We start from the raw sequence: 11071 nt of genomic DNA on the forward strand, positions 1-11071 counted from the left end.
GACTCCCATTGAAATCCTCTGCCAGAATCCTGATATAATTTTGTTATCTTCCATAAAGTTTGGGGGTAGATGGTTTTACCTTTGGTGCAACAGATGGTTTGTGTCGTGAAGGACCCAGGCTGTTTCTATTCTTTTTTCTCTGTGATCTTCGACCAGTTGGCTTTTTCTCTTCATACTTGTCACCTCACAGTCATAAGATGCCTGATGTAGCTCCAGATGACGGATTCTTATTCCAGCTATCCAAGCAGGAAGGAAGAAACTGACACAAAAGGCATTTTCCTAAGCTGGCTTTTGATTCAAAAAGTGAAGCCCTTTTTGTTTCATTGTGGAGAACTAAGACATGTTCTCATCTCTTGTTAATCACTGGTGAAGGAGATTAGGATTTCCATGGCTGGTTCTGGCCAAGCAGGATCTATCCTGACTTCAGCATGGGCCTAGTTCCTGGGGATGAAAGGACTTCTCTTTAACATTTGGAATACAAAATTGGGAGGTAACTGCTATGAGGTAAACATGGAACCATTAAACCAATCTAAAGTTGGGCTTTGCACTCAGGAACTCTGCTCCTAGAAGGTAGGTTCAACTCTCCATATGCTTATTTGCCCTTGGCTACTTCCCACTGTTAAGTACAAAATAAACACTGAATGCATGCATGCATCATGCATGAACGAGTGGACACGAGTGAGTCAACGCATGGATGTATGAGTGATTGCATGAATGCTTTTCTCCCTTGCTTTTGTCAGACTTACCAGAACCTTCCTGTTTATTCCCCTCTGTGGAGGGGCTACTTTGAGTTTTATTGTCACATCTGCTCATGTATTTTATCATTCTGCCTTCTTTATTTATAATTGTAAACTCTTGCACTTCCAGAAAGCCTGTCTCTCTCGTGTTCCTTTTTCTGAGGCAGGCTACTCCTCATCAAGTCCCTTCCCTTTCTTCACTGCTCCTCCCCCTCAGCAGTGTTCTCCTAGCTGGTCTGCCTGCCACTAGTTTAACGCTTATTTTTAAAAGTCATGTTTATTAAAGTGTAACTTAAGTATGTTAAAATACACTTATTTAAGTGTAGAGTTGGATGAGCTTTGACAAACAGCTGTGAAATTATCACTGCAAACTTGATACAGATCATCTTCACCACCACCAAAGTCTCCCTTTGCTCCCTCCAGCTTCTTGGTAGTCAATCCTCTCCTACTGCCACTGGCACTTGAGGACCACTAATCTGATATCTGTTCCCATATCTTTGCCTTTTCCATAATGTCCATAACATAGTAAGGAGCCTTTCAAATCTACCTTCTTTCACCTAGCATAATGCAGTGAGACTCATCGATGTTGTAACATGTATCAGTAATTGTTTCTTTTTAATTATTGAGTATTCCATTGTATGGATATACCACAACTTGTTTATTGATTTACCAGCTGATGGACATCTGTATCATTTCTAGTTTTTGACTATTATACATAATGGTGCTATAAACATTTACCAACAAGTCTTTGTGTTGACATATTTTTATTTCTCTTGGGTACCCATCTAAGAGTGGAATAGCTGGGTCATGTGGTAAGTCTACATTTGTCTTTTTAGGAAAAGGCCAAGCTGTTTGCAAACTGGATATTCCATTTTCTATTTCCATCAGAAAATTTGGGGGTTCCAGTTTTTCTACATTCTTTTCAACACTTGTATTTGTCTGTCTTTTTTATTTCAGCTGTCTTACTGGATATGATGTAGTATTTCACTGTAGTTTTATTTTGTGTTTTCCTAATGATCCTGATCATCTTTTTATGTTCCTGCACATCCTCTTTGGTGAAACGTCTGTTCAAATCTCTTGCCTATTTTTAAATTGGGCTATTTGTCTTCTAATTATGAGCTGTAAGAATTACTTATACATTCTGAACACAATTCTTGTATCAAAGATGTGATTTAAAAATATGTTCTTTCAATCTGTGGCATGTCCTTCTATATTCTTTTCTCTCTCTCTCTCTCTCTCTCTCTCTCTCTCTCTCTTTCTCTTCAGAGATAGGGTCTTGCTCTGTTTTCCAGGCTGGAGTGCAGTGGTACGATCAGAGCTCACTGTAGCCTCAACCTCCTGGGTTAACATGATCCTCCTGCCTCAGCTTCCTGAGTACGTAGGACTATAAGCAGGCACTACCATACCCAGTGAAAATTTTTTAATTTGAAAAGAATTTATTTGAAATAAAGTATAACAAAGATTTATTTGTACATTTCACCAAGAGTTGGTTGCATTTTCAACTCCTTTTCCCTAAAACTAGATGACTTTAATGTAGGTAGTTTCTTTTTAATTTAATTTAATTTAACTTAATTTAATTTAATAAAGTTCCAGGATACCTGTGCAGGACAGGTAGGTTTGTTACATAGGTAAACATGTGCCATGGTAGTTTGCTGCACCTATCAACCCATCACCTAAGTATTAAGCCCCACATGCATTAGCTATTTATCCTGATGTTCTTCCTCCCTCTGCCCCCACAACAGGCCCCACTGTGTGCTGTTCCCCTCCCCGTGTCCATGTGTTCTCATTGTTCAGTTCGCACTTATAAGTGAGAACATGCAGTGTTTAGTTTCTGTTCTTGTGTTAGTTTGTTGAGGATAATGGCTTCCAGCTCCATCCGTGTCCCTGCTCCATCTGGGGACATCCATGTCCCTACAGGATAAATAGCTAATGCATTGTTCCTTTTTATGGCTGCATAGTATTCCATGGTGTATATGTACCACATTTTCTTTATGCAGTCTATCATCGATGGGCATTTGATACTTGATTAATTTTTCAACTTCTTGTAGAGATGAGATCTCACTATGTTAATCAGGCTGGTCTTGAACTCCTGGCCTCAAGTGATCCTCCTGCGTTGTCTCCCAAAGCTCTGAGATTACAGGCATGAACCATTGTTCAGGCCCCTTCTATTTCCTTGTGTTGCCTTTTGAAAAAGAAAAGTTTAAAGTTTTGATGGGAAGAGAAGGTACTGGCTGGGTATTTCTTCCTCTCTCTCCACTTGAGTGGCAGCTCTAGCCAGGGCTGCTTCTACCCCGTGGTTCCAATCCATGGGCTCTATAAACTAGATTGTTTCCCTTTTCTCCTCCAATCTCAGGCTGGAGTGACTCCTTTATGCTCATCTCTGGGCAGTCTGGTCTTTCCCTTGAATGTCCACTTCTTTCAGCAATTCTGCAGTTCTGAGTGACATAATACTGCTGCCAGATATAACATCTTAAAACCCCTGTTAGCGTCTCTCTTTTGCAATATTCATCATGTCTAATTTTTTTATAAGCCCCTAAAGGCCCTTAGTAATCTAACTCTAGATAAACCACTATATTGTTCTTTTGCACACCTTCTCCTACCATGAAATACTCTTACCTTTAGTGTAATGCATAACCCACATAAACTTGCTCTCCTCTTCTAGACTGTGGTTTAGTTCCACGATGGCAGGAGTCATCTGCAACTCCTGTTTTTCTATCTCCAGATAGCAGTTCCATACATCTATGATTTGCATCATACAACAGGAGCCTACTGCTCACCAGAAGGGAATGTTTAGTGATAACAGTGTAAGAAATGTCAAGGTATGTCCAAGTGAAGAAAAGGCCATTTGTAGACTCAATCTTGTTGGCCAGTGGCTTATCCACCAGGAGGAGTTTAAGACAGTCCTTCTATTGTCAGAGCACAGGTTGCTGCTGTGGGCAGAAATATCTGCAGGGAGTGTATGCTCAGAGCAAAGTGTGGCATGTGATGTCAACACCATGTGAAGCTTCTTTGCTATTCTTGCTTCATCTACCTTCTTCCCCCACCCTCTGCCCACCTGACCCCTACACATATTCACACATAAACACACACATGCACGCATACACACAGTTTTTCTCTTCTCTACCTAGAAATTGCTATTTACTTGCTAGGGTCTGAATGCTTGTGTACCTGCAAAATTCATGTGTTGAAATCCTAAGTCTCAAGGTGATGGTATTAGGAGGCAGGGCCTTTGGGAAGACACTCGGTGTATTAGGCTGTTCTTGTGTTGGTATAAAAAATACCTGAGGCTGGGTAATTCATAAAGAAAAGAGGTTTAATTGGCTTATGGTTTTGCAGGCTGTACAGAAGCATGGTGCTGGCATCGGCTCAGCTTCTGGTGAGGCCTCAAAGAGCTTTTATTCATGGTGGAAGATGAAGCGGGAGCAGCATGTCACCTCATGAGAGCAGGAGCAAAAGAGAGAGGAGGGAGATGCCACACACTTTTGAACAACCAGATATTGTGTGAACTCTGTCATCACCAAAGGGATGGGCTAAGCCATTTATAAGGATCCACTCCCATGATGCAAACACCTCCTACCAGGCCCCACTTCCAACATCAGGGATCACATTTCAACATGAGATTTGGAGGAAACAAATATCCAAACTATATCACCAAGACATGAAGGAAGAGCTCTGAAGTTAGTGCTCTTAAAAGAGATCCCAGAGAGAGCCTTGCTTCTTCGACCATGTGAAGACACAGCAAGAAGGCACCATTTATGAACCAGGACATAAACCCTCACCAGACAAACATCCTGGTGCCTTGATCTTGGACTTTCCAGGCTCCAGAACCATGATAAATAAATTTCTGGGGTTTAAAATTTACCCAGTTTGTGGTCTTTTGCTATAGCATCCTGGACTAAGATGTTACTCCTGAAAATTCAGACTACTATGTTATTCCCTCTGAGAAGGTTCCGCTAAGCATAATTAATAGTTCCTTCTGGGTTCCTATGAGAATGTGGGCATATTCCTTACAGGCACTTAGCACACTGAATGTAATTAGCTGTGTGTCTGTCTCCCTCACTAGACAGACAGTTTGGTTTTTTAGGGGTGAGACCACCACGTCGCATACCTTTTCATCTTCAGAGCTGGCACAGAAGGATCTTAGCACATATTTGCTGAGTGAATGCAATCCCTTTCAGTCTGATGTATTTTCATGCAGAGATGTGGTGGAAAAAAATGTGTAAAACCTGAACTTGGTTCTGTACTGATTATTATCTAATTTCTGTAGAAATGTGAGGTGAACCAGGTCATAACAGCCCATTTCAATGTATCTTTTGGACAAGGGAAACAATTTCCCAACCATTTGCAGCTTGTTCTATTGTTTCCATTAGTCATACAAACCTTCCCTCACCCTTCAACATAAGCATGTCAAGATAGCTGCCCTCCAAATTTTATTTTGAGCAAATGTCTTATTTTTAGAGCTTTATGCAATCATATAAAATCCTTTAATTTAGAAATTCTGGCTACACTGGGCACACTGCCTAGTAGCCATGCTCTGCAAGGAGCAGTAAAAAAATAAAAATAAAGAAATTCTGCATTCTAGAAAACTCCTCCCCATAGCTAAAATAAATATAAATTTGAATAACATTTTCAGACTTATCTTTCTACAGTCCTACTTCACTGCTTCCTTGAGTTCTCTGTTACCCATTGCAATGCCTACCAAAGTTTCTTGATGTTCAACTAAATCTTCATGCTCATAAATTATCACTTGATATTCAACTCTTAGAGGATACAGAACAGGAGACACAGTTTGCTAGCCTAGTGGCATTCAGCATTCCTGTTAGTTGAAGTTCTTGCAACAGTCGTCTACACAGCAGGGAGATGAATCCACATTGGCTCCCATGAAATTTACCCTGGCTTCCAAGCTCTATACCAGCATATCTTGCAAGATCTCCAGAGGTATAACTCCTTCTACGATCCACTTAAGGATTATAAGAGTCACCACACTCTTATAATTCTTCTTTAGGGAAATCTCAAAACAGGGTACCCTAATTGGGTTCATTTGTAGTCTTCCCCAGTGCAGATGTGAGCTACCCATCAGGGTTATTTTTATGCTAATGAATGTCACCCAGGAGTACAGCTAACATCATATCAGGTACCAGGAGAACACAGCTAATCAAAGGATGAATTCTGACACAGAAGGTGAGAAGGTTTAGTTGGTTAACCCTTTGCCCACATCCATATCAGGTAAAAAACAAATTTAGCACAGCATTCAAGAGCATCCACAGCCACAGGTCCAGGAGGCTTTCTGGGTTTATTCACCCTCCCCCCTCATCTTAAGCATCAGTTACATCTAATGTCTCAACCCTATCTGGAAACACATTGCTCATATGTCTTACCTCAAAGGCTTTCCTACTTATAAAGTTTCCTCCTCTGCCATTTTCACTCTCTCTCTTTTTCAACTCATATTTCCTTGTGAAGCTCCTAACCATATGTGACCCACTTCTGCTAAATGTTCTCTGAAATGACTCCCTAGACACAGTTAGTCATTCTCATACATCTGCCCCCAATGACCTTTATTTACACCATTATTTAAAATGAAAAAAAGACAGGAGGAAAGAAACTAGATGTTATCACCTTGAATTTTAGTGATTTTTTTCTTTATCTTTGAATCCCATACGTAGCAGAGTGTGAGCATGTGGTCAGTACCCTACAAATATTGTTGAGAATGTCTTGGAATCATATGGATCCCAATAATCTCCTAGAAAATCTATGAACCATTTTAAAGGTAAAACAGCCCTGGTTCACAATGTTTCATAAATGTTTACAATAATAGCGAGTACTTCTGGAGTGCTTAATTTCTGGCCACAGTTTATATTTTCTTGGTTAATCCTTGGCATACCCCTATGAGATATGCACCGTTACAGGCTCCATTCAACTGATAAGGACACTTAGGTTCAGAGATGTTGAGTGATTTGTCCATGATCACACAGCTGTCAGAAGTGGAGCTGGGACTCCAACCCAGGGAGGACGTCTACAGAGCCTAGTTCACACATCTCTGTTCTTCCATCCTTAAACCTTGTAGAATGCAGTGGAGGAGCAAGGCAAGCTGCGGGCCATGGGGATTCTTTATTCTGATTATCTGAAAAGACCAAAGAGTTTAGACTGCTCACTGGGCTTCCCTTCTCCCCACTGTCCATGGAGAACAATGTCAAGGTCAGCTTTAAATTTCACCACGTATGGTCTCATTGGAACAACTGATGAGTAGAATAGTCCATTTATTGTCTTATTTGAGAACTCTGTAGAGATTAGTTTTATAACATTAGTAAAATACACCTCAACATTTTGACTTTTTGCCTCAAAGATCATTTTAACAATTTGAGTCACTGTGATGGGAGTTTAATATTTTTAAGCAGCATATTGACAAGTGTTTCATACACAAAGAAGCCAAGACAGAATTGAAGCTTACAGTGTCAGGGAGATAGTTTGCCTACTGTTAATATTTGTGTCATTGGGTTTGTAACTTTACATATGATCACAAACGTTATGTTACATATTAACATAAACATCCTCAATATTCAAATCTATCTGTGTTTCATTTGCATGGTGTAAGAGTGATAGCATCTGTCACTTAAAGAGGTTGCCTAACAGTCTTTAATCCAAAATAGAAATGTGTGAGATTTTATCCTTTTCTTTGATGCTTTGTAATTATACAAGTTATATTTTATCCAAGTTTATATCCATCAATTTTTATCTAAGTTTATATCCATCAGGTACATCAAAATAAAAATATTTTAATTACCTCTTGAAATAATTTGTCCAAGTCAATAAGTGGCATGAATTACATCACTGAGGCCATAACAAGGATACACAAACATGGCAGAATCACACAGATTGTTTGTCTACACAAACAAGATGGTAGAATCCATCCTGTTACTGAGACTTTTCCAGAAAAGCCTATTATTTCTGCAAGCAGATGTGGTTTAATCTTATTTGAATGGTATTTTTGATATAATGTGCCTGGGAATTAGGTAATGAAATTGGCTGTGTGCATTCATGTGTTCATTTGTTCAGGCATGTATAGAGCCTTCTGTAGTGAGCTTTATTCTGCAGGATAGACTATAATGGTACTTTCTTCATTGCTACAGTCTTGGCTTGCAATGCTTTTTTCTTGCTGACCTAAAACCCATCTCTAGACCTAAGGAAATTTATTTTCTAACACCTTGAGATAGTAATATGCTGTGTGTGGAGGAGATAAGATCATCACTTAAATAAAAGCTAACACTGAGACTTTCTCCTCCCTGGCCATCTGCACATTGGACAATACCTGACTCCAACCTAAAATAATCAACTCCAGAGTTATACTTAATGCCTCTGGCAGGCCTGCCTATTGCCAGAGAGTTTTGGGCCTAGGAATAAAGGCAACAAGGATTGGCCATTTCTGGAGGTAGGAAGCAAATGGAAACTCATAATTTTCAGATGGCTCTGCATCTTTGGGGTAAGAACTGGATGTTTGGGGTGTTTTATAGACTATATTTATTTGTCCATCTATAGCTCCCTACCCTCCATCTCCCTCTCTCTCTCTCTTCCTCTCACCCCTCCCATCTATTATTTATCTCATTTTAGGTCATTCTTAACATAGCTGTAGAAAAAGTAAACCTTCTGGTGTGTTTTAATTCTGGATCCCTCAGGGTGACCTTTGGTCTTTGGGAACTGTGGTTTATGCTGGTGCTGAGGGTGGCCATGCAGCTGTGGAGACAGGGAGGGATAGAGGGGGTGTAAATGCACTTTATCTTCATGGCACTCCATCTTGTGACTCCTGGCATGTCACAGTGTGTACTGCGGTCCCATGGACTCAACTGGGCTTTTATAAATAATTTGCATTGTTCATTTAGTTGCAGTTTAAACTACAATATATGGAGGTTTAAAGAAAAATCAAGTTACCACTGGGGTGTTTTGCTCTGTTTGCAAATAAACCTCTCTTCCTATATAGAGGAATATAAAAACTTAACCCAATAATATGATATAAAGAAAAAACTGTAGCCAATATGTTTGGGTTAGATTAAATAAACAAGTGTGCTTATTACACTTTTACTATTTTTTTTTTTGTGGTTTTATTATAAAGTAAGAAATCCCCTATCACAAATAATACCTTATTTTTATAGACTCCTATCCTAGGGCTGTCAAAGAGCTTAATTCCAGGGATGAAACTTCATTCTCACAGGACTCACCTGGGGAAAATGTATATTTAGGCCTTTTAATCTCCATGTCTCAAAGCATAAAACTAGTGATGCCATAGATTAGCTCCTCCTTTCCCTGAAATGCAACATGCACTGTACATGCATGCGCTGTACTGTAAAGGAGCATCACATGCATGTAGAGTGTGCAGGGAAGACAGGAAATGAAAATGCATCTCCCTGAGCTGTAGTTGGTTTAGGTAAGAGTTTATGGAAAATACGATTATTGACTGGTATGTATTTCAATGTGTGTTAGGTGGAGTTGCTCATGGACTCTTAGAGTTGAAGTGGAACAGACAGGTCTCCCAGCTCTCCAGCTCTGTTAAACAAGAGAAAGATGCTTGTGATGCCTCAGCTCAACTGTAATGAGGTCAACTCCTATCACTGCCGTTTCATCTCAGTGTTGATTCAGAACGCTTCCAGTTAAGTCCAACGCCCAAATCATCCTCACAAATTCCGTTAAGCCACAGCTCCCTCATCTTACTCTACACCCCCTCAGAGGTTTATTCTCATTCCACCCACTCTTAATTTCCCGCGGTCCTCCCAGAACTTCGGTTCCTCCATTTGCTTTCAGTCCATCTGGATCCACCTGGCTTTACTTCCCTCTTTATCCAGCCCGGCCTCCTTGGTTGCCAGGGTTTGTCAGTTCTCACTGGTAATCTCTCTCCCTCCTTGTCTACTTGTCATTCAGAGCTGGCAAAATTCCACCTGGGAACCCATACATCATTGGCCTTCTCCACTCTCAAGCCTGGGGGCTGAGCCCAGCTGGAGAAAATCACTAAGATCCTTCAACCAGTCCCACCAGGAAGCTCCCGCGGCTGTTCCAAGCTCTTGCCTCTCTCCCATGCTCTGCTTCACTGTCCTCCTGTCTCACAGCAGATTGTCCGGCCTCAGCTTCCTGCCTCAAATGCCCAGATGAATGCATCTGTACCCAGACCCGTTTTTAATTCCTGCTCCTTATTTCCTCTCTCTCCTGCCAATCCCATCAGCCATGCTCTGACCTGCTTTCTCTCCTGCTTCCTCCAGACCTTGTTCCCTCAACCCTCTTCCCTCTCTGCAGTATCCTCATCTCCCTCTCTACTAGGCCTTCCCCTTAGCATAGAAGCACACTTACATGTTTCCTCTGTGTACAAATAAACATAGCAATGAGTTTTAGAAAATGTTCCGTTCAACACGCTTTTCTTGACGTTCTCAATTTCATTGATTTCCAATTCCCCCAACTCCAGGCACACTCTCCTAGGGCCACACCCTGCATATTACCTGGAATTCTTCCTTCTCTGCCAGGATCCCTCTCACTGCCCATAATATTGTGTTATCTTTTGTCATCATTCTGTGTGCCTACTACACCTGTTCTTTGATCTCTTAGGGGCTCCGATTGCTCCATTTCCTTGTTGCCTTCATTCCTATTGCTTAGTGGCCTGGATCTCATGGCTCTTGCCTTGAAGCCATGAAGCTCATGGCTTCAGCCTCTGTCTGTCTACATCTTCTTTCCCATTCTCATTTTTCCACCACACTCACTGGTAAACTCCATCCCTGGATTAATACAACCATCCACCCTTCCTACACCTGGACTACTGGTGAAGCTCACATACCATGAGGGTTGGTGCCCTATGCAGCTATAGCCTCCAGCTTGAACTGGAAGCTCAGCTATATCCCACTCTCCTTCCACAGGTCCCATAATACCTTCCTCTTCCATTCCCCTAAATCATTGTTTCTCTACAGTCTTCAAATCCCCCTTGGAACTATCTCTTCTCTTTCTTTTAGGGGGTGACAGGTCTTCTTAATACTCCAATTAATGAAAACTGACTCAAAGTGACACCTTCAGTGCTCTGTCTCAAGCACTGGTTACAGATGGACCTACTCTCAGAGCCCTGAAATTTCCATGGAAAAAGTGATACCCACTTCTCACAGCTAATGTTCCCACATGGACTCCAGTTCCTATCCCCTACTTGCATCCTTCAGGGTCATGCCTTATTAATCATCTCATTATCTTTCATTTCTAGTAACTTTCGTTCTATTGCCTCTTCCCTCTAAGCACATATAATAACTATGTTTAAATCTCCATCCACAAACCAAATTAAAAATAAGAACAAAGCACAAAATTCATCCTTGATCTTA

The 11071-nt window shown here is 40.9% G+C and overlaps 1 annotated feature.

Annotated features, from left to right (window-relative positions):
• Positions 2986-3142: a silencer, noted in NCBI's record as "fragment chr21:36466332-36466488 (GRCh37/hg19 assembly coordinates)". NCBI's record gives its function as "represses an EF-1alpha promoter that drives an FKBP-Casp9 reporter gene in an ReSE screen in phorbol 12-myristate 13-acetate-treated (for megakaryocytic differentiation) K562 erythroleukemia cells {active_cell/tissue: K562(+PMA)}" and the evidence as "EXISTENCE:reporter gene assay evidence [ECO:0000049][PMID:32094911]".

This window comes from Homo sapiens, chromosome 21 (assembly GCF_000001405.40).
Source record: "Homo sapiens chromosome 21, GRCh38.p14 Primary Assembly".
Classification (NCBI taxonomy): Eukaryota; Metazoa; Chordata; class Mammalia; order Primates; family Hominidae; genus Homo; species Homo sapiens.